This window comes from Homo sapiens, chromosome 10 (genome assembly GCF_000001405.40).
Source record: "Homo sapiens chromosome 10, GRCh38.p14 Primary Assembly".
Taxonomy (NCBI): domain Eukaryota; kingdom Metazoa; phylum Chordata; class Mammalia; order Primates; family Hominidae; genus Homo; species Homo sapiens.
The window spans coordinates 110,109,634-110,133,146 of NC_000010.11; the positions used below are offsets into that span (position 1 = coordinate 110,109,634).

The 23,513-nt window shown below is 39.4% G+C and overlaps 1 protein-coding gene across 31 annotated transcripts in view, besides 1 other annotated feature; it reads left to right on the plus strand.

Annotated features, from left to right (window-relative positions):
• The window catches only part of ADD3 (adducin 3), a 139,193-nt gene that overhangs the window by 113,261 nt on the left and 2,419 nt on the right, over positions 1-23,513 (plus strand). For 19 of the 31 annotated variants that reach the window (NM_001320591.2, XM_047424588.1, XM_047424590.1 and 16 more), the window contains 12 exons: positions 3,144-3,282; positions 6,626-6,777; positions 7,709-7,789; positions 8,954-9,103; positions 9,578-9,721; positions 9,833-9,931; positions 12,477-12,659; positions 14,384-14,641; positions 16,193-16,312; positions 16,784-16,870; positions 20,730-20,853; positions 22,672-22,767. In NM_001320591.2, the coding sequence (NP_001307520.1) occupies positions 3,144-3,282; positions 6,626-6,777; positions 7,709-7,789; positions 8,954-9,103; positions 9,578-9,721; positions 9,833-9,931; positions 12,477-12,659; positions 14,384-14,641; positions 16,193-16,312; positions 16,784-16,870; positions 20,730-20,853; positions 22,672-22,767 (1,633 nt within the window). Of the gene's footprint in view, positions 1-3,143; positions 3,283-6,625; positions 6,778-7,708; positions 7,790-8,953; positions 9,104-9,577; positions 9,722-9,832; positions 9,932-12,476; positions 12,660-14,383; positions 14,642-16,192; positions 16,313-16,783; positions 16,871-20,729; positions 20,854-22,671; positions 22,768-23,513 lie in introns of those variants that run through there. The other 12 variants (XM_047424595.1, XM_024447806.2, NM_019903.5 and 9 more) reach the window with 2 other exon arrangements.
• Positions 19,998-20,292: a silencer, noted in NCBI's record as "tiled region #905; HepG2 Repressive non-DNase unmatched - State 15:Elon". NCBI's record gives its function as "represses a minimal TATA promoter and a strong SV40 promoter by Sharpr-MPRA in HepG2 cells {active_cell/tissue: HepG2}" and the evidence as "EXISTENCE:reporter gene assay evidence [ECO:0000049][PMID:27701403]".

Sequence of the window (23,513 nt, forward strand, 5' to 3'; positions counted from 1 at the left end):
TTGAACTGAGAAAAGTTTAAATAGTTTGGTTTTGAAGGGAAGATAGAGTTCCAAAAGAGCAGATTGGCCCATTGCCATGTGTCCAGAAGTTTTCTGTACTTTACATAAAGATAAATGAGGATATCTGGAACATTTTTTTCCTTTCAGCCTTAAGCATGGTAAAATAGTTATGTTACTTGTCTGTATGAAGGTGTCCATCTATCTTGTATACAGCTCTCAGCCATCTTATCTTCACAGGGTCTTGGATGAACAAGAAAACTCCCTAATGGAGTTTTCTGATAAATGAAGTATATCTTTGTAGAGGATATTTTACAAGACAGTTTTTCTGATTTAAATCGTGTATTTAAATGAACTAGATACCGGCAATAGAACCAGATGTTTTTGAGCTTTTATTATATTGTGTGAATGATTTACACTTAACAAGCCTTGAATTTGTAAAAAGAAAAGCCATATTTAACTGGTGCAAACTGCTCCATGAACTTAGGATTCAAATGTCACAATTAGTATTTTTAAAAATTAATCACTCAAATATCCACTTGCCTTATTAGCAGAAAGTACACCATCTTTCTCTTGGAATTTCTGCTTTTCTCTGAATTCTTCCAGAACTTTAGTGACTTACACTGACTGGGTTAATCAGTGGCCTCCATATCCAAGATGGGTGTGGGTCGTGTATCCATGCATCTGTATATATGTATGTGAGGGAGACACACTAGAGTCTGTTCAGTCCACCACTGCCACTGTACTTCCCTGCCCCATGGTAGAATGTTGAAAACCAGTCTTAAACTGTTCAACAGGAGCTATAGGTTCACTGTTGACTCAGATGTTTGTGCAGGCCACCACAGTGCATCAGGGAGGGATCTTCCGGTGCTAAGCTCGGTCCTTTATGGTTGAGCACCCAAGATTACAACTATTAGCACCCAGCTCTTAGAGTTCACATCATGGAAACTTCTCAACTATTGTTCTAAGTGCACTGTAAACACTGAGTCAGGACTAGTTCTAACATCTACCACCTCATACCCTTAGAACCATATTTCCCCTTATCACCATGAGCTCGTATGCCATTTTTTTTTTTTAAAGTTCCTGGCTGAGTGTGGTGGCTCACACCTGTAATCCCACCACTTTGGGCTGAGACAGGTGGATCACTTGAGGACAGGAGTTTGAGACCAACCTGACCAACATGGTGAAACCCCATCTCTACTAAAACTACAAAAATTAGCCGGGCATGGTTGTGCACACCTATAATCCCAGCTACTTGGAAGGCTGAGATAAGAGAATCACTTGAACCCAGGAGGTGGAGGTTGCAGTGAGCTGAGATTGTGCCACTGCACTCCAATCTGGGCAACAGAGCGGAAAAAAAAAAAGTTTCCTAGACATATAGGTTATTTACCCACCCTCTCAGAAAGGCTCCATCTAAGCGGAGATTCCAGGAGATTTTATTCCTACCGTCACGAGGCAGACCACTGTCAGTGACTCAAAAGAGATTCACCCTTCTAAAGGAAGTTTTCTCCATTATCTCCCAGGTATTCATACCTACCCTTCTTGGAGGAAGTGATTCCAAAATAATTTTCTGCCTTCTCCCTCTTAGGCAGAGTGGGGGAAATGGAGCTTAATTTCTGGCAGGGCATCCTGCTACATAAGTAACTAATCTCAAATGGAAGAGCAAGGGTTAAGTGACTTATGTTGCAAGAACCTTCATCTTTAAAACGAAGGAGACATGAGCAAAAGAACAAATGACAAACTTAATAAGTGTTGGTTGGGTGTGATGGAAAGTCAGAACCAACTATTTGTGATATGAAGGATTGGGAGAAGTTTCAGATGTTGAACCATACTAGTAACTCGAGGGTTACTGGAATAGAGGCGTTCTCTTAATATTAGTTCAGGATTTTGATCTCTATAAACACTGTTTCTGCCACTACCTCACCCACCCCACCCCCAAAAAGATACAGAACTCCAGAATAGGAACATATGGAACCCAACGTTCCATTAAAAAACTGTCATTTAGCCGGGCGCGGTGGCTCACGCCTGTAATCCCAGCACTTCGGAAGGCAGAGGTGGGCGGATCACCTGAGGTCGGCAGTTCAAGACCAGCCTGACCAACATAGAGAAACCCTGTCTCTACTAAAAATACAAAATTAGCCGGGTGGTGGCGCATGCCTGTAATCCCAGCTACTCAGGAGGCTGAGGCAGGAGAATCGCTTCAACCCGGGAGGCGGAGGTTGCGGTGAGTTGAGATCGCGCCGTTGCACTCTAGCCTGGGCAACAAGAGCGAAACTCTGTCTCAAAAAAAAAAGAAAAAAAAATTGTCATTTACCACAGTGTTGCAGAGAGTGATTAGAACTCAACTCTTATTAATTTGCTTTCAGAGTTTATGGAGCTAAGGAATTTCCATAGAAATCATAAAGTAGAAATTATTTTAGTATGTCTCAGTGAAAACTTTTGCCATTGAATCACTCTGTATTCAAAGTTGTGCCCCATTCACATGGGAACTCTGTCTTTTTTTTTTTGAGATGGAGTTTCGCTCTTGTTGCCCAGGCTGGAGTGCAATGGCATGATCTCGGCTCACCACATCCTCCTCCTCCCGAGTTCAAGCTATTCTCCTGCCTCAGCCTCCTGAGTAGCTGGGATTACAGGCATGCACCACCACGCTGGGCTAATTTTGTATTTTTAGTAAAGACGAGGATTCTCCATGTTGGTCAAGCTGGTCTCCAACTCCCCACCTCAGGTGATCCACCCGCCTTGGCCTCCCAAAGTGCTGAGATTATAGGCGTGAGCCACCACGCCTGACCAGGGACTCTGTCTTAGCTAAGCAAGGAGTGGGTCACCTTTTTTTTTACAATGGTTTCTTGGTGCTTGAGTTGTATATTAATAAGAGGAGTTTTATCTGTGCCTGTCTAGTGTAGATATTATAATATCTCATTTTCTTTGACATGAAGAATGCCTAGTGGTTTTCCCCCCTAAAAGCAAGCATCTTGCTGCTTCTTGCAGTGCTTTGATTTTATTATTTTGTGTTTTATATTTGTTTTTAAATAGTACAGGTAAAAGCTATTCAGAAAAGGGATGGGGTAAAGATTGATTGTATCGGAACAAGTTACTTTTGGGCCATTCAGTCTTGCTTGCTCAGTCTTTATTTTTGTGTATTACAGGCCTTTCGGGAAGACTTGGAATGCCTTATTCAAGAACAGATGAAGAAAGGCCACAACCCAACTGGATTACTAGCATTACAGCAGATTGCAGATTACATCATGGCCAATTCTTTCTCGGGTTTTTCTTCACCTCCTCTCAGTATGTCAGTTTTGGAGAGTTTTAAACATTATAATTTTACTTCCACTTTGGACCACTATACATCTCTAGCAGCATATTCTGCTCGGGTTCAGTCCTTAAGTTTATAACATCTAATACTTAGAGTAACATAGTGTTAGACCCTCCTACCTTTTCATATCAACCAGGCATTTACTACACTTTGTACAGATTATAAGATGATATAAGACATGATTCTGGGCTGGGACTTGTGGCATGTGTCAGTAGTCCCAGCCACATGGGAGGCTGAGGTGGGAGAAATGCTTGAGCCCAGGAGTTCGAGACCAGCCTAGCAAACAAAGTGAAAACCTTGTCTCTATTTTTGTTTTTTTGTTGTTGTTTGTTTTTTCTTTTGAGACAGGAGTCTTGCTCTGTCGCCGAGGCTGGAGTACAGTGGCCCGATCTCGGCTCACTGCAACCTCCACCTCGCAGGTTCAAGCGATTCTCCTGCCTCAGCCTCCTGAGTAGCTGGTATTACAGGTGCGCGCCACCACGCCTGGCTAATTTTTTGTATTTTTAGTAGAGACGGGGTTTCACCATGTTGGTTAGGCTGGTCTTGAACTCCTGACCTCACGATCTACCCACCTTGGCCTCCCAAAGTGCTGGGATTACAGGCCTGAGCCACTGCACCAGGCCCACCCTGTCTCTATTTTCTAAAATAATAAATCTGATTTTAATGTGGCTGGATATAAATCATATCACAGTTGGATTTGGAAGTTTGGGTTTTATTCCTAACTTTGATGGGAAGCCATTTTAAGCAGAAAGATGATTTTAAAAGACCACTATATTTTCTGTGTGAAGAATGAACTGGGAGATTTCATAGTATTATTAACAAAAATAGAATAGTTGGGGATCTGGTTTGGCTTGGGAAATGGAGGAAGTTCAACTTTGGGCATGCTCCATTTGCATTGCCAAGACATTGCAGCAATTGGAAGTGCAGTCAGAGAGCTTAGGAGAAACACTTGGCAGATGGACATAGAGAAGTAGTACTCAAAGCTGTGGACATTGATTAAATAATCATACAGGAGTATGGGCTGACAAAAGATTCCAAAGAGAAAACCTCAAAAGCTCAAAGAGGAAGACTAGTCAGGGAAAACAGAAATAGTAAAAGAAGCTGCCCTGGAAGTGTCCTGGATTCCATGGCGGGAACAAGGAGCTACAGGAGACCTGGGCCTGCTGGCTGGAATGTACAAAGGCATGGCAGGAGGAAAGCCATGTGCCACTGTTTGGAGATCAGGAAATAGCAACCAGTTGCCTGAAATACTTACGCAGTGAAGTGAAAAGCGGAAGTTAAAGTTGGAAGGTTACGGGGAGAATAGAAGACAGGTTAATGGCTGACTCTAAAATTTTGTCAGAAATTATGCTATTTTTTGTGGCTTATGTATTAAAACTATTCAGATTACTTCAAAACATCTCAAAATTAAAAGGTTTTCCATTGAAATATTCTCTTTAAAAGTTCTTGCTCATATTCTCAGGTAAAAAGCAGTGCTTTAGAAAACTCAATGGCTTTATGCATAATGAATTTACAAAGAAAGGGGCTACAGTCGAGTACAAGAATGAGGCTTATTGCAGGGATCCATGCATGAGTTAAGGGCTGAACTCAAGAGTGGACAACGAGGGACCTTATGAAGAAAACAGTCATGAAATGTGGTGACAAATTATATATGGTTACCCAGGAGAGGTTAAGGAGGTAGAGGTTACTGAAACCCAGAGTTTGAGCCTATAGGAATGGTAATATCAATATTAGAAGCAAAGTAAGGAGAAGAGAGAAGGTAAGAAAAACCAGGAGAGAGAAGATAAAATCACCTTTAGACCCTTTTAATTTTCATGTTATTGCGTTGTAGGCACTTGGAAATAGCAGGCTAGGCTGGGCACAGTGGCTCATGTCTGTAATCCTAGCACTTTGGGAGGCCAAGGCAGGAGGATCACTGGAGGCCAGGAGTTCAAGACCAGCCTGGGCAACATAGTAAGACCCCATCTCCACTAAACAAATTAAAAAATTAGCCAGGTGTGGCAGCATGCCCTGTAGTCCTAGCTACTCAGGAGGCTGAGGTGGAAGGATTGCCTGAGCCTAGGAGTTCGAGGCTGCAGTGAGCCATGATCACACCACTGCATTGCAGCCTGGGTGACAGAGTGATACCCCTGCCTCTAAAAAAAAAAAAAAAAAAAAAGGGTGGGGCCAGTTGCAGTGGCTCAGGCCTATAATCCCAGCACTCTGGGAGGCCAAGGCAGGTGGATCATCTGAGGTCAGGAGTTCAAGACCACCCTGACCAACAAGGAAAAAACCTGTCTCTACTAAAATACAAAATTAGCTGGGCCTGGTGGCACATGCCTGTAATCCCAGCTTCTCAGGAGGCTGAGGCGGGAGAATCGCTTTGAACCTGGGAGGTGGATGTTGCAGTGAGCCGAGATCGTACCATTGCACTCAAACCTGGGCAACAAGAGTGAAACTCCGTCTCAAAAAAAAACAAAACAAGCAGGCTGGAAAATGGGGAGGAGGACCTGATCAGAACTAAAGACCAGGGAGTGAGTCGTCTACACAAAAATAACAATAGGGAGGCTCAAGAGTCTATAATGTTTTTGTAGGGAAAAGTAAAATGAGAAAGAACATAGTGGAGGACTGAGCTTTGGGGAAGAGCCAAAGCTGGGCAAAGGGAACAGATGAACTTGTTAAAGGAGAAAAGCATGTAGACAAGGAATAAGAGATCTAGGATAGTATCACATGGGCCTCGAGAAGAGTTCTAGGAATGAGGCAGTGTAAATAGTGTAAAGCTGTAAAGAGGTCAAGGAGAATGAAGACTGAGCAAAAGTTGAACTTGGTAACAGCTGAACTTGGCAATTAGATCATTAGAGACCTTCAAGACCTTCAATAGGACAGAAATCATACTACTATTTGCATGCATTATTTTCCATCTCAAATGTTTTTTGTGTTTGAATAAAAGTCAAGAGAGATAATAGAAAAGTAGCTTTCTGTTGAGGTCTTTTCATCATAAAACTAGCAGTAACCTCAGTATTTAACACTTTTACCCTCGGAGATATGTGTAACCATTTTTCCCCAGTGGTGTGAGCCTTTGATATAGTCACTCCTTAGCAAGCACTACATGAAGCAACTTTTACTAAGCAATCAAAGATAGCTGATACTTATTTTTACTCTCAGTTTACCTCTCTGAAGGAGAATAAGCTAATAAAATATTATATGGGCTGATAAATTTCAGATTATTATATACAAGGCTGGGATACTCCCAGACGCAGGCTACTTCCTGGCAACTAATTTCCAGGTAAGGGATTGCATGACTCGTATCTCTCTCCACATTTTTTGCTCTTTTAGGTCTTGGCATGGTCACACCTATCAATGACCTTCCTGGTGCAGATACATCCTCATATGTGAAGGGAGAAAAACTTACTCGCTGTAAACTTGCCAGCCTGTACAGACTTGTAGACTTGTTTGGATGGGCACACCTGGCAAATACCTATATCTCAGTGAGTTCTTCAGCTTTCAATTCCTTTTTTAAAAAATTCCAGCTAGAAGGCAACTATACTCTTCTTACCTTTACCTGGAAGTCCAGTTTTCAGACTTATTCTCTAAACCTAGTATGCTAGATCACAACCAAATACTGATTTAAACCTTATACCCAAGGGAGAGGCTCCAATTCCCCCACCTTTCTTCTCCCCTTACTATCTATGTTGTTCCAAGTTCCTTTGGTTCAGACCAACTGTAGAATCTATCCAGGAAGAAATCCTTCTGGCAAAATTGTCCCTCTCCATGATAATTATGTCTGAGCATCAGTGGCTTTAAAAAGCATTTGAGGCAAGGAAGATAGAGGAGGTCAGGGAAGTTTCCTCCCTGGTCTTTATTTTTAAAATATATTCTTTCCATTCACCATCATATTTTTATTTTGCCACACTTGGAAAAAGATGCTATTTGGAAACAAAAGAGGATTAAAATATTGTACAATGGAAATGGTACAGATGCAGTCCATCAAGAATCTTTCTTCCTTTCCACCTTCCATCTTTATTTTAATTCCTTCCTAGGAAGAGATTTTGTTCTCTTTCCTTTGCCCATTTTGCCTTAACTTCCAAGTTATAAATTAAGGTTATAATTATTACCACATTGGCTTGAATAATATTAGCATTTATTTTTCATGAACATAGCTGACCCTAAATAACCTTAGAGCCCCAAAATAACACTTTTAGGTAAGTCCAGTAAATAAGAAACTAAAGTCAGAATTTTTTAGCAAGTACTTGAGGGAAACTTTAGGAAAGTTTCATGTTGTAGACCTTTAATTTTTGCTTTGTTGGTTTTTTTTTTCCTGATCTCTTACAATTATTCATTGTAAATATATTTGTAGTCATGTTTCCACTGCAAAATATGAACCACTTCATAGTAATTCCCTGTTGTTTTTTTTTCCAGGTAAGAATAAGTAAGGAGCAAGACCACATTATAATAATTCCCAGAGGCCTATCTTTTTCTGAAGCTACAGCCTCCAATTTGGTATAATTTTCCATTCCTGTGTTGCTTTTTCTGAGCTTTCTTTGGCTTTTCTGACAGTTCTTAGCTTTTAGCACAGGACAGAATAAGAAGGTATGGATGGAAAAACATTTACTAGTGAACAGTGAAGGGAATTTGAACTATGTTGTTTTAGGGAAAAGCTTTAGAGAATAGCGTAATTGAAGAGACTAATAAATGAGTTGGTCTTATCAGTTAACTTGTCTATGTTTTGAAGGGAATCGTGATTTTTTTTTTTTTACCACCCTATACACTCAGAAATTTGTGTAAAAAAATTGTGTAAAAAAAACACACACGGCCAGGTGCAGTGGCTCACGCCTGTAATCCAAGCACTTTGGGAGGCTGAGGCAAGTGGATCACGAGGTCAGGAGTTCAAGACCAGCCTGACCAACATGGTGAAACCCCATCTCTACTAAAGATAACAAAAAATTAGCTGGGCGTGGTGGCACACACCTGTAATCCCGGCTACTCGGGAGGCTGAGGCAGGAGAATCGCTTGAATCCATAAGGTAGAGGTTGCAGTGAGCCAAGATCGCACCATTGCACTCCAGCCTGGGCTACAGGGCGAGACTCTGTCTTCAATACACACACACACACACACACACACACACACACACACACACACACACACACACACAATGTTCATAGCTAGATTTAAACAAAGTTCAGCTGGTATGAGTATAGGATCTGACCTTAGTATTTTATCTTTTCCATGACTACTCCTAGCCACTGTCATCAGCTTACAGAGTGACAGGAGCTACCTTGGTTCTGGGTGCTTGCTGCAATGTTAGCAAATAGAAGTTTTCTAGCCAATTCTATACATGCCAGACTTGTTCAGACCTCCGATGAAGAGCTTAAGTTTCTCCTTTTCTTGGAAACTGTACTTCTTGCCAAGTACCAAGTTTTGTTGCACCTGTTTTATAAATAAAGTTTTATGGGAACAAAGCTATACCTGTTAACTTACAGATTGTTTATGGCTGCTTTTGTACTGCAGCTGCAGATTTGAGTAATTGCAGCAGAGGCCCACAAAGTCCAAAATATTTGCTATCTGACCTTTTACAAAAAGGTTTGCTACCCCCTGGTTTAGCTTGTGAAACACAAACTTTGATACGTATATACCAGTTAAATATGTCCTTCTGATTTTTTCCAGGTGAAAGTCAATATAATAGGAGAAGTGGTTGACCAGGGAAGTACCAATTTGAAAATTGACCATACAGGATTCAGTCCCCATGCTGCAATCTATTCAACACGTCCTGATGTTAAGTGTGTGATACACATCCATACCCTTGCAACAGCAGCTGTAAGTCAATGAAAGTCCAAAACTGACAGGACGCTGGAAGATGTATTATTTTTGTGGCTTTCTCAACAGGATGCTTTACTATCTGCTTTTCAAAATCATATTTGATACAATAATCTGCATACCCAGAAAGCAAAAGGCCTTTGGGACCAAATGCTACCATTCTAGGAAACAACTGGAGAAATAACATTTGGATTCTAAAACTAACCAGTTTGAAAATTGGGTCATTGAGTTTTTTGGAGCAAAGCTTCTTTCATAATATTTGACACAGCATATAAGTTGAGTTGTATTCCCTAAGTCCTTTTTGTGTGTGTGTGGAAGAAACAAAATGGGAAGTGAATAAAGTGGGAAGTGGGCTGCAATGGTGAAACACAGTGAATAGGCCAGTGTTTTCCTGAGCTGACCAAACAATCAGGTTCCTATGAAAATGTATTTAGTAACCAAATGTGTTATCTTGGTATGGGCCAAACCAAATAGGTATCCTCCATGAAATGTGGGATCCTTCCAATTTCTCAAGAGTCTCTTCTTCTGGGAGATGTTGCCTATTATGACTACCAAGGGTCACTTGAAGAACAGGAGGAGAGAATTCAACTGCAGAAGGTTCTGGGACCAAGTTGTAAGGTATGTAGTAGAGTTTGTCTAAGGAGCTATTTTTGTTGCTGCTGCTGTTGATGAAAACAGTGTGAGCTATGCCAGTTATTTCAAGTGATTGCTGTGGGCATTCTATTTTAGGTGCTGGTACTCAGGAATCATGGTGTGGTTGCACTTGGAGAAACATTAGAGGAGGCTTTTCATTATATTTTTAATGTGCAACTAGCCTGTGAGATTCAGGTAGGAAACATTATTCCCCTTTTTTAATTGCTTTGTTATTTGCTCGTTTAGTTGGATTTTGTGTACTTATTTGCAAATACATATTAGTTAGTGGCTTTTTGTCTTTTAAGAGAAGTTCTGCTCTACTTATGTAGGCAGGGTTTTCAACTCAGTTATCTCTTGAATTGAAAATAGGAGTAAAGGAAATTAAAATTTTCTCACACACAATCTAAGGGCCTCATAAACATCATTTTCCCTACAATCCTGCTTTTTAAGTTAGTACAATTGCATATTTCTGTTTTCACCCTGTAGTGGTGGTACTAATTAAGGAAGAAAAACAGCTGCAAATCAAGAATCAAATGTGTTGTGGTCACTTTTGTAAAAAGTTTGACTAGGTCCAGAAGTTATATGAAATTGCAGTTTTCAACAATTCCACAGCCTCATTATGATGAGAGGTTGGATATTTATTAATCATTTTTTTCATCAGAGATGTTGAATGTATTTAAAGGCCCTAATTTTCTTTTTCTTTTTCTTTTTTTTTTAATTATACTTTAAGTTTTAGGGTACATGTGCACATTGTGCAGGTTAGTTACATATGTATACATGTGCCATGCTGGTGCGCTGCACCCACCAACTCGTCATCTAGCATTAGGTATATCTCCCAATGCTATCCCTCCCCCCTCCCCCCACCCCACCACAGTCCCCAGAGTGTGATATTCCCCTTCCTGTGTCCATGTGATCTCATTGTTCAATTCCCACCTATGAGTGAGAATATGCGGTGTTTGGTTTTTTGTTCTTGTGATAGTTTACTGAGAATGATGATTTCCAATTTCATCCATGTCCCTACAAAGGACATGAACTCATCATTTTTTATGGCTGCATAGTATTCTATGGTGTATATGTGCCACATTTTCTTAATCCAGTCTATCATTGTTGGACATTTGGTTGGTTCCAAGTCTTTGCTATTGTGAATAATGCCGCAATAAACATACGTGTGCATGTGTCTTTATAGCAGCATGATTTATAGTCCTTTGGGTATATACCCAGTAATGGAATGGCTGGGTCAAATGGTATTTCTAGTTCAAGATCCCTGAGGAATCGCCACACTGACTTCCACAATGGTTGAACTAGAGAGCCCGCATCGCCAAGTCAATCCTAAGCCAAAAGAACAAAGCTGGAGGCATCACACTACCTGACTTCAAACTATACTACAAGGCTACAGTAACCAAAACAGCATGGTACTGGTATCAAAACAGAGATATAGATAAATGGAACAGAACGGAGCCCTCAGAAATAACGCCACATACCTACGACTAGCTGATCTTTGACAAACCTGAGAAAAACAAGCAATGGGGAAAGGATTCCCTATTTAATAAATGGTGCTGGGAAAACTGGCTAGCCATATGTAGAAAGCTGAAACTGGATCCCTTCCTTACACCTTATACAAAAATCAATTCAAGATGGATTAAAGATTTAAACGTTAGACCTAAAACCATAAAAACCTTAGAAGAAAACCTAGGCATTACCATTCAGGACATAGGCATGGGCAAGGACTTCATGTCCAAAACACCAAAAGCAATGGCAACAAAAGACAAAATTGACAAATGGGATCTAATTAAACTAAAGGCCCTAATTTTCTCTTTAAATCAAGCAGATTTGGCCAGGCACGGTAGCTCATGCCTGTAATCCCAGCACTTTGGGAGGCTGAGCTGGGTAGATCACCTGAGGTCAGGAGTTCGAGACCAGCCTGACCAACATGGAGAAACCCCGTCTGTACTAAAAATACAAAATTAACAGGGCGTGGTGTCATGTGCCTGTAATCCCAGCTACTTGGGAGGCTGAGGCGGGAGAATCGCTTGAACCCGGGAGGCGAAGTTTGCAGTGAGCCGATATCGTGCCATTGCACTCCAGCCTGGGCAACAAGAGTGAAACTCAGTCCTCAATAAATAAATAAATAAATAAAGCAAATTCTCATGAAGCAAATGGTAATAATCTTAATTTATTGGAAGGGCCACAAGAAAGGGGGAAAAGAACAACTAAAAAAAAACTTTTTCTACCAACATTAACTTGTCCTAACAATCAACTTATTTTTGCTTTAATGGTTCCTCCTCTTCTCAAATGGGGCTATGAAAAGCTTAATTAAATTAAGATAATGAGCTGATGGCTTCTGCCTAAATATCTTTAAATTCAAAGTACAGTGTTTTTGTATTTCCTTAAAATTATAGCTTTTAGCAAAAGTATTAACTGGATAACCCTGGGAAAACTTCAAGAAAAGAAATTTAAAATTTGGCAGCAGAATTCCGTGGCTTAAAATATGTTAAGAGGTATGGCTCTAATGTGTTTTCCATCAGGGAGGATCAGAGTCTTGGAAGGTTTCTTTTTCAGATAGGTGGAAAAGATACTTCAGCTGTCTGCTGGCACAAGAGTGTCATCTTGTCTTTGTTGTTAGTAGCCTGAGCAAGTATTATAGATATTTGCCAAATTGAAATTGTGCCTTTTTGAAAGTAAAATACTCATTACAGTCTTTATAGTTTTGTGTCTCTGTATATTTTACCATTGATTACAGGTGCAGGCCCTAGCAGGTGCAGGTGGAGTAGACAATCTCCATGTACTGGACTTTCAGAAGTATAAAGCTTTCACTTACACTGTAGCAGCGTCTGGTGGAGGAGGTGTGAATATGGGTTCCCATCAAAAATGGAAGGTTGGCGAAATTGAGTTTGAAGGGCTTATGAGGACTCTGGACAACTTGGTAGGTTGCAAAATTGAAGTAAAACTTGGATTTAATGTCTTCAGATTCAAGAGCAGATGCTTCCATTTTTGTAGAACATGCTCCATACTCTTCCAGAAGCTGAGTTTGGCCCTAGGAAAGCATTTCATTGTTATTTAACCACACCTTTGAGAATTAAACAGAACTTACAAATGTCGTGTTTTTTTTTTAAGATTACAATATATTGTTATTAACTGTAGTCACCATAGTACAATATATCTCTTGAACTTTTTCCTCCTAACTGAAATTTTGTATCCTTTGATCAACATCTCCCCACCCCCACCTCCTTGTAACCACTATTCTACTCTACTTTTATGAGTTCAACTTTTTTTTTTTTCTTGGAGGCAGGATCTTGCTTGGAGTGCCGTGACACAATCAGGGCTCACTTGCAGTCTCAACCTGCTGGGCTCAAACCATTCTTCCACCTCAGCCTCCTGTGTATCTGGGACATAACGTGTGTGCCACCGTGCCTGGCTAATTTATTTTTTTTTTTTTACTTTTTGTAGAGATAGGGTTTCTCCATGTTGCCCAGGCTGGTCTTGAATTCCTGGGCTCAAGCAGTCCTCCCACCTCAGCCTCCCAAAGTGCTGGGATTACTGGCGTGAGCTGCCATGCCCAACAAGTTCAACTTTTTAAGACTCTGTATATAAGTGAGATCATGGGGTATTTGTCTTTCTGTGCCTGGTTTATTTTATTTAATACAATGTCCTCTAGGTTCATCCATGTTGTCACATTTGACAGAATTTCTTTTTTAAAGCTGAATAGTATTCCATTATGTTGTATATACCACATTTATATCCCATCCATCAATGGACACTTAGGATGATTCCATATCTTGGCTATTGTGAATAATGGTGTACCTAACATGAGAGTACAGATACCTCTTTGACATACTGAGTACATTCCCTTTGGATATATATCTGGTAGTGAGACTGTTGGGTGATATGGTAGTTTTATTTTTAATTGTATGAGGAACCTCCATACTGTTTTCCACAATGGCTATACTAATTTACATTGCTACCAACAGTGTGCAAAGGGTCCCTTTCTCCCTACATTCTAACACTTGTTGTCTTTCATCTTTTTTATAATAGCGATTCTAACAGGACATGCCATCTCGTGCTTTAATTTGCATTTTCTTGATTAGTGATGTTTTAATACACTTGTTGACCATTTGTATGTCTTCTTTTGAGAAATGTTTATTCAGATCCTTTGCCTATTTTTTAATTGGGTTCTTCTCTTGTTATTTTTTGAGTCCCCTATATATTTTGGATAGTAACCCCTTAAAAGATGTATGGTTTGGCAAATGTTATTTTAGATTTTACCCTCTTCTGTGAAGGCTCAGAAGGCTGACTGCCTTCAGACCCAGGAACAGAGACTTAAATGAGCACTGAGATTTGCTTCCCCAGAACAGTTTTATAGATAGAAAAGCACTTCTGGTCAGCAACTTAGAACTGTTCGTTTGTCGGGAACAGTTGTGTGAGTGGAAATTGCAATATCAGCTGTTATCAGCTCTAACTAGGTCTTGAAATTTGCATAATTTCAGCTCCAGTGTTACATGAAAGTTATGTGGTGTTTGGAAGGATGCCTTTTTCTTTGTTTTTTAGCAAAGGAGTCTTTTAAATCATTTGTATACAAAAGGAATTAGGATCCAAATGCTGTTATTGATACAGGTTTGATGCTTCAAATGTGGCTTTTCCCTCCCTTAGGGGTATAGAACAGGCTATGCTTACAGGCATCCTCTCATTCGAGAGAAGCCTAGGCACAAGAGTGATGTGGAAATCCCAGCAACTGTGACTGCTTTTTCCTTTGAAGACGATACAGTGCCACTCTCTCCTCTCAAATACATGGCACAGAGGCAACAGCGTGAAAAAACAAGATGGCTGAACTCACCAAATACTTACATGAAAGTGAATGTGCCTGAGGAGTCTCGGAACGGAGAAACCAGTCCCCGAACCAAAATCACGGTATGCCAGTATTTTATGTAGTTTGCCTTTACTAAATATTTTGCCTAGTTACTCAAGAATTGAATGTTCTATATTGAAAATATTTGGAAAGTAAAATAATATTAAAAATATTACTGTCACTTATCTGGCTTTAACTTTGTGCAAGACACTCTTCTAAGTGCCATACACGAATTTTCTCATTTAACTCTCCTAATATGAATGATGCTGTTTTTCTATTTTATAGATGAGAAAACCAAGGCAAGAAGGGTTAATTAATCATGTTTTAATGGTAAACTCGGGATTTGCATGAAGACAGTCTGACTCTTGAGCCCAGTTCTTGTCCACTACATGATACTGCTTTGTAGTTTCTATTAAACTACACCAGTAGTTTAATTCACCAGTGAATTAAAACTGTAAAAGTTATCAACTCCTAATTGTACCAAAGCTGCATGAATCACTGCACATAGCTACCCTTAGGCAAGATCTTGTAGGTAGAGAAATGGGTTATTTTATCTTTTTCAGAATTTTGCATTAGATTTGGTTTGGTTTGGTTTTGGAGTGCATACCACCAAACATTCTCTAGGTCAGTCTTGTCCAGTCCATGGCCCAGGATGGCTTTGGATGCAGCTCAACACAAATTTGTAAACTTTATTAAAACATTATGAGAATTTTTTGTGATTTTGTTAAACTAATCAGCTATCGTTAGTGTTGGTGTATTTTATATGTGGCCCAAGACAGTTCTTCCAATGTGGCCCAGGGAAGTCAAAAGATTGGACACCACAGTTCTAGATATTCAGAATTAGTTCATCTTATATAAACTAATGGCATTCAATATGAAAATACCTAGGCATCAAAATGTCTTTTCTGTAGTCTATAAGATTTCTTGCCTCCCAGTAAAAGAACATAATTAAACTCATTGGTTTCTCAGAATTCATTTTGTTTACAGAGATTGATGGTCAGCCATCATTAATCTTGATCGAGATTCGCTTTCTTTAAGGATTATAATATGGGGTAAATGAGAAGAATTATGTAAGCTCCTTCCAACCCCGTGGTTCTATTTTGCTATTATATACCAGATTATCCCCATTATAAAATGCCGATTAGGGCTTGGCCTTTTCTGTCAGCCAAAAATAAAAAGTGAAGTCTGATAAACTAAAATCTTAAGATATTTCTTAAGTTTTTTTTTTTTTTGATTACTCCTTTGCCATCTTCATCTGACTGCTGTCTTCAGTGCAGAAGACAAAACACTGAATGTGAGTGAATGTGAGATCATGCTCTCTGTGCTTGAAGTAGTTTCAGCATCATATTTTCACTTGACACAAGGAGAAAGTTTAATTAGCAGTATAATTGAATATTTATGTGAATCGTAATGGCATTTATTTTTTAAGTAAATGTTGATTTTGAGCCTTTTCTAACTAGTATGAGATGAAACTAATTCACCACTAAGATACTGCTTAGTGAAATTATTTAAACATTGGCAATGCCCCTCTTGAGACTATAAGCAGTTATCTAACAATCTACTAATATTTTCTTAACACAAAGCTTCATTTTAGAAAATTTTTGATTCTTTAGTGGATGAAAGCAGAAGACTCATCTAAAGTTAGTGGTGGAACACCTATCAAAATTGAAGATCCAAATCAGTTTGTTCCTTTAAACACAAACCCGAATGAGGTACTAGAAAAGAGAAATAAGGTAAGACATGGTCTTCTATAGCCAGGGGAGACATTTTAATTGCTTTATGTTTAAATCACCAGTGGTTGAATCTGGTTAATGCCAAACTTAGAAGTTTGAATACAGAAGAATTTGGAATTTAATTCAGTATAATTTTAGCTTATATTGAATGCCTCCAGCTCTGTGCTAGTAATTGGTGAACAGGCTACATGGGGAAGATGTATTGAACATTTTTCTGCGTTAGAGAACCCTGCTATTAGGGGGAAAATGCAGTTCTCTAACAACCTAAGACGAAAGGAAATAACTTGCCATAAAGAGCAGAGGAGACTAATATGAGTTGTTAGGATGGTAAAAGAGGTCTTTATGGAGGTGGGAATTGAAGAGACTCTCACTCTGGAAATGTCAAGTAGTAAGCTTTTATGAAAAGATAAAGCAAAGGTCATCTGCATAGTTGCCCTCAAGAACTTTATATTGAATTGTTTTTCAATTCAGATTCGGGAACAAAATCGATATGACTTGAAAACAGCAGGACCACAATCTCAGTTGCTTGCTGGAATTGTTGTGGATAAGCCACCTTCTGTAAGTTTATGAAGTAGTATGATCTTTGTTTTTTATTTACCACATTAATTTCATTGATTTTTAAATATGAATATTTATTTTTACTAAGGTTAATATAAGCACAAGTTAAAAAGTCAACTCACAAGATTTAAAATGTCACCCACAATTCCCAGTTTCCAGGTGCAGCAACTTTCTGTTCTTTTCATTGCTTCTAATGTTTACTTTGGTGTTTCTGGTTAGTTAGTTGAGATGAGGTCTCACTCTGTTGCCCAGGATAGTCGTGAACACCTGATCTCAGGTGATCCTCCAGCCTTGACCTCCTGAAGTATTGGGATTACAGGTATAAACCACTGCTCCTCGTCCTCCTTTGATGTTTCTAAAGAGCATCTTCTGCTTTTTCTTGGTCTATCAGTTTTAGACCTTGACTATTTTTCATCAAATCTGTGTTATCCGTTATAAGAAGTACCATTGTTTTATATGTCACTAAAAGAGAAAAAACACTGCCAATTATAATTGTTCCCAATTTCAGAGATGGAAAAAGTTCATCTTAGAATTAATGAAATATTTTTGAAAGATGGGGATTTAGCCTGTTTATACAGTGCTTCCCTTTTTCCCTCTCCCCATTCTCCCAGTAAGGATACATCACAGTTTTTGTTTTTTGTTTTTTGTTTTTTTCTGTTAGATCAGCTTTCGTTATTTATATTACTACATGTTTGCTGCTAAGCCAGGTAGTATTTCCTTTCTTACATAAGTCACCCCTCCCTACTCTCACCTTGCCTTTTTTTCATTGGCTTATTATTTGGGGTACATTGGCTTAGTTCTTCCCGAACTTTTTAAAAGAATTATAAAGTCCCGGCTGGGTGCAGTGGCTCACGCCTGTAATCCCAGCACTTTGGGAGGCCGAGGCGGGCAGATCACGAGGTCAAGAGATCAAGACCATCCTGGCCAACATGGTGAAACCCCATCTCTACTGAAAATACAAAAATTAGCTGTGCGTGGTGGCGTGCACCTGTAGTCCCAGCTACTCAGGAGGCTGAGGCAGGAGAATCACTCGAACCCGGGAGGCAGAGGTTGCAGTGAGCCAAGATCATGCCACTGTACTCCAGCCTGGTGACAGAGCGAGACTCCGTCTCAAAAAATAAGAATAACATAAAATCTGTCCTAATATTATTTTCCACAGGGTGAAAGTCAACAGGTAATCTCTCTGTTCCAGCCCCCCTTCATTCTGATCCAAATCTAAATTGGTTGCTCTCAGGCCAGCTGCACAGGTTCATCTGGAGGATTCCTGTGCTGCTGATCTATATTGTATTCCGTTTCCTGTATCTTGTGTCTTCTGCTTTCTTGATTTCCTCCTTTACTGTAGAACGCACCCTCTAATAGCTTTCCGAGAAAAGGATACATAGGTGGTAACAGTCTGAAATGCCTTTATTCTATCTTCAAATGTGCATATAATGGATATAGAATAGTTTAGAAATAATTTTCCCCTGAAATAAGAAAAGCATCATTCTGTTCCCTATTTTATTGTTGAAGTAGGAAGGCATTGGAATTCCTGAACCTTTGTTTAGGATTTTTTTTTTTTTTTTTTTTTTGCTTTTAGACCCTTTCTGCATCCCTGCTGTTCTGAAATTTTATGATTGTGTGCTGATCTCTTTTTAGTCTTTTTTCTAAGTAATTAGTAACCCTTTTCAATCTCCAGAGTCATATCCTTCAGTTCTGGAAGTTTTTTAAAAGTGTTTCTTCAAGAGTGTTTTCTTCCCATTTCTTTTTCTGTCAGTATATTATGTTAGTTTGGATGTTGGGCCTCTTTGAGCCTCTGATTTTTTTCTTTTCTCTCCTACTTGCCATCTCTTTATCTTTGTATCCTACTTTCTGGGAGAATGTTTTCTAACCCTTTTAATTTTTTATTTTGATGTTAACTTTTTTAATTTATTTTATTTTATTTATTTTTTTTGAGATGGAGTCTCGCACTGTTGCCCAGGCTAGAGTGCAGTGGCGCGATCTTGGCTCACTGCAAGCTCCGCCTTCCTGGGTGCACGCCATTCTCTGCCTCAGCCTCCCAAGTAGCTGGGACTACAGGCGCCTGTCACCGTGCCCGACTAATTTTTTTTGTATTTTTAGTAGAGACAGGGTTTCACCGCGTTAGCCAGGATGGTTTCAATCTCCTGACCTCGTGATCTGCCCGCCTTGGCCTCCCAAAGTGCTGGGATTACAGGCGTGAGCCACCACGCCCAGCCAACTTTTTTATTTTTAATAAGAGTTCTTATTCCCTGAATGTTCCTTTTTAATAACATCCTGATCTTTACACTTTCTCTTATTGCTCTAAGGGTATCAATTTTAAATTTTCTTCATTTGCCTTTGTTGTCTTTGTCTATTCTGAGTTGTTCCGTATGTCTGTTTATATGGAAGAATGAGACATTAAAGCATATCAGAAGCTCTGGGTATACACAGAGCTCGGGGATTGGTGGGCTTCACTGTAGGGTGATTGGATGTGGACCAGGTTGTTTCTCTGGGGAATCCCCAAACATTATTCTCTGTAATTCTTTTATCTGGGACTATTTAGTTTATCTGGAAAAGAACTCCAGTCTCCTGCCAGTTTCCAACCATCATTCTAGGAGCCTGCAACTGTATTTTGTGTCCCCTAGTTAGTTTTTCTTTCTTTCTTTCTTTCTTTTTTTTTTTTTTTTGAGACGGAGTTTTGTTCTTGTTGCCCAGGCTGGAGCGCAATGGCGTGACCTCAGCTCACGGCAACCTCCGCCTCCCGGGTTCAAGCCATTCTCCTGCCTCAGCCTCCTGAGTAGCTGGGATTACAGGCATGCACCACCATGCCCGGCTAATTTTGTATTTTTAGTAGAGGCAGGGTTTCTCCATGTTGGTCAGGCTAGTCTCGAACTCTGGACCTCAGGTGATCTGCTCGCCTTGGCCTTCCAAAGTGCTGGGATTACAGGTGTGAGCCACCGCGCCCAGCCTAGTTTTTCTTTCTCAAGCCTCTGATCTTCTGCAGAGATGAGAGAGAGGGAAATGCTTGGCTCTGTGGAATAGGGAAGGGAACCTGGGAATCTGTTTCCTATTCAGACTTTGAACATGTTCCTCTATTTTCACCTTTTCCTTACCACCACCTTCTATGGTACCTATTGCCTCTAGTTTATGGGCCTTACCAGACCTCTTCAGGGCAAATAAGCATGCTTCTCATTTGCATCCTTTTTTTCAGGACTGAGGCTTCAACTTTCTCAGCTCTGCTACCTGCTGTTCCACTTGCATTCCAGCTTCCAAAAATATGTTAACATTTCTCATCCTTTGTTGTTTCATCTCACATTCTTTTGTCCTTAAGGGTGTTTTGTTTTGTTTTTTTCTATTCCTTTACTATCATTTTAGTGGGGTTTTGGGAGGGATGAAAAATAAATACATGGGTTCCATATGCCAACTGCAACTGAAATTCTCATTATTTCCTTTCCTGGAGAAAACAGCTACAAGCTTATTTTCGTAACAGATTTAAAGAACTACTTTTGGTACAGTTTCATTTCTGTAAGCCTTTTTTACAGTGGTCTTTAAAATGGAGCAATTCTTGTTTTTTTCAAGTTTTTTTTATGTGAAACTTATTAGAACTTGGCATAATGGTTTTTAAAAATTATTAAGATTTACTTATACAGGCTTATTGAGGAAATATCACTGGCAATTTTAGTCCATTGGATTAGTAGTTTAAGGGCATCAATCTTACAAGAGCATTTTAAACAAAGCATGTTACCTTGCATTTCTTAGGATTGTTGTGAAATAAGGCTTCACAAACATCATATTTGCATTTATGTGTATATAGATGGATGGATGGATAGATATATAAGTAAAACTCTTGGTAATGAATCGATTTTTATTTTTTCTTTGTAAGACTATGCAATTTGAAGATGATGATCATGGCCCACCAGCTCCTCCTAACCCATTTAGTCATCTCACAGAAGGAGAACTTGAAGAGTATAAGAGGACAATCGAACGTAAACAACAAGGCCTAGAAGGTTAGTTAATCTTTACATTCAACCTAGGGTAAGCCACACTGATAACAATAAAGTACCTCACGTTGGATGATAGAAAGCAGTCAGTGTGGCCGGGCACAATGGCTCACACCTGTAATCCCAGCACTTTGGGAGACCAAGGCAGGTGGATTGCTTGAGGTCAGGAGTTTGAGACCAGCCTGGCCAACATGGTGAAACCCCGTCTCTATTAAAAATTAAAAAATTAGCCGGGCATGGTGGTACACGCCTGTAGTCCTAGCTACTCTGGTGGCTGAGGCAGGAGAATCGCTTGAACCTGGGAGGCAGAGGTTGCAGTGAGCTGAGATCGCACCACTGCACTGCAGCCTGGGCGACAGAGAGAGACTCCGTCTCAAAAAAAAAAAAACAGAAAAAGAAAAAAAACAATCTGAATGCTACTATTTTATAGTAAAATCTTCTAGAAAGTGAGATTCCCAGATGAGTAAAGAATTACTAGCCAAAGTAGATGTAGATAAATTAATGGATTTAAACATTTCATAATTATGTGGCTTTTTAACTCTCTTAATTTTAAATAATTACAGATTCATAAGTATGTAGTTTTGATGCTTTGTAAAATCTCTATTTCTGGTTATCTCAAGGTGCCAACATTGTCACTTCAAAATTTAAAACTAACTGCTAAAATTTTGATGTGACTTTCCTTAAGCACACGGACACTCTAGTAGGTTGAGTTTTCTGGCTTTGGAACCCTTAGTAAGTAGATTGTTAGGATTATATTTAAGACTTGTTAATGAAAACATCTTAAACAATTGACTACTAGCTCCCTTTTTCTCTGGAATAAGAGATTCTTCCTAGCAGGAGTTCTCTATCTTGAGTCTTTGGATAAGCTTCAGGCAGTCCATGAGCCACCTGAAAAATACATGCTTTATTGTTTAAGGTACACATTTAGGGAGGGAAGGGTTCAGGGTCAGGAACAAGCCTGTCACCCAAAAAGAGGGTAAGGAGCCTCTGCTTTAGAGCATCCACAACATACAGTTGAAATTTTCATGCAAAGCAAAATAAGCCAATAGTTAATGAATTTTTGTCCATGTTAGATATCATTTAGGAAGAACTAATGACATCTTGATCATCCAAGGAACAGTTTTTTGTGCCTTTGTCACAAAAGGGAGTTGTCCTGATTCATTAATGTAATTATACTAAATTTTCTAAATGGTGTTATTGAATTTGTTTATTCTAACATAAAGTTGGGAGCTTTCTCTGTTTTTCATATTTTGTAAAATATCCCTCTTTAATCTCTTGTTTTTTGAAAGCCTAAAGATGCCAGGTAACAAATGTTGCACTCTAGAACCGTCACCTTTTTTATATAACTTTATAGTAGTTTCTTCCACATTTATTATGACCTTATGAATTAGCTCAGTAACATTGCTCTGACAGGTATCACTAATTAAATATTGTTCAAAAATTCTGTGAAGCATTCTGCCTCATTAATGTAGCATCATTGGTGAGGCTTTATAATTTTTTTCATCTGTCTGCGCAGTATGTTTTGGTTTTCTAATGCTAGCAAGAGCTACATGCAACATATCATTTGCCTGGGCTGCCAGCAGCTGTGCATCTTTTGTAACCTGTACGTAAAATAACCATTAGCAGCCAGAAATGTTAACACATTAACCTCCTCTTAATGTATAATTATGGATATATGGGATAACTGTTAGCATGCTCAGCTCACTGCTGAAGAATTTATCATCTCTTTGTATACAGGCATTTGATGTATGCACTAACCTCCCTAAAATCATATGCTGCTTTGTTTTGTTTTGCATGGCTTTTAACTAAACTCTTATCCAACAGATGCTGAGCAGGAATTACTCTCAGATGACGCTTCATCTGTTTCACAAATTCAGTCTCAAACTCAGTCACCGCAAAATGTCCCTGAAAAATTAGAAGGTACTCAATGTAATTTCCCACATAGCATTCACTGAGTTAGTCTTGAGTCTGTCCCTCTGTGTTTTGTTTTCACGTGAGGAAGTTGAATACCTCATCACAGTAAGTTTTCCATATTTTACTTATATCTCCCAATAATTACATATTTTATATCATTAAAAATGGGGCGCTACTTTTGTTCAGCATTTATATTGATTTACCTTAATCTGAATTTTGGCAACCCGCAGTTCTTAAGAATTTGTGGAATTGGCTGGGCGCGGTGGCTCACACCTGTAATCCCAGCACTTTGGGAGGCTGAGGCAGGTGGATCACGAGGTCAGGAGATCAAGACCATCCTGGCTAACACGGTGAAACCCTGTCTCTACTAAAAATACAAAAAATTAGCTGGGTGTGGTGGCGGGCGCCTGTAGTCCCAGCTACTCGGGAGGCTGAGGCAGGAGAATGGCATGAACACGGGAGGTGGAGCTGGCAGTGAGCCAAGACTGCCACTGCACTCCGGCCTGGGCGACAGAGTGAGACTCCGCCTCAAAAAAAAAAAAAAAAAAAAAAGAATTTGTGGAATTAAACATCTCCCAATCAGCAGCATGAAATCTTTTTCAGTATTGATTGCCAAATGATCCCAAAACTAGAGAAAAATATGTTGTCTTCCTCATTTATACTTAATTGATTTACAATGAAACTGTTATTTCATCAAACTGGGATTATCTAGCTTTTGCTCTTTGGTTTAACAACTTTGTTCCTTTCCCCTT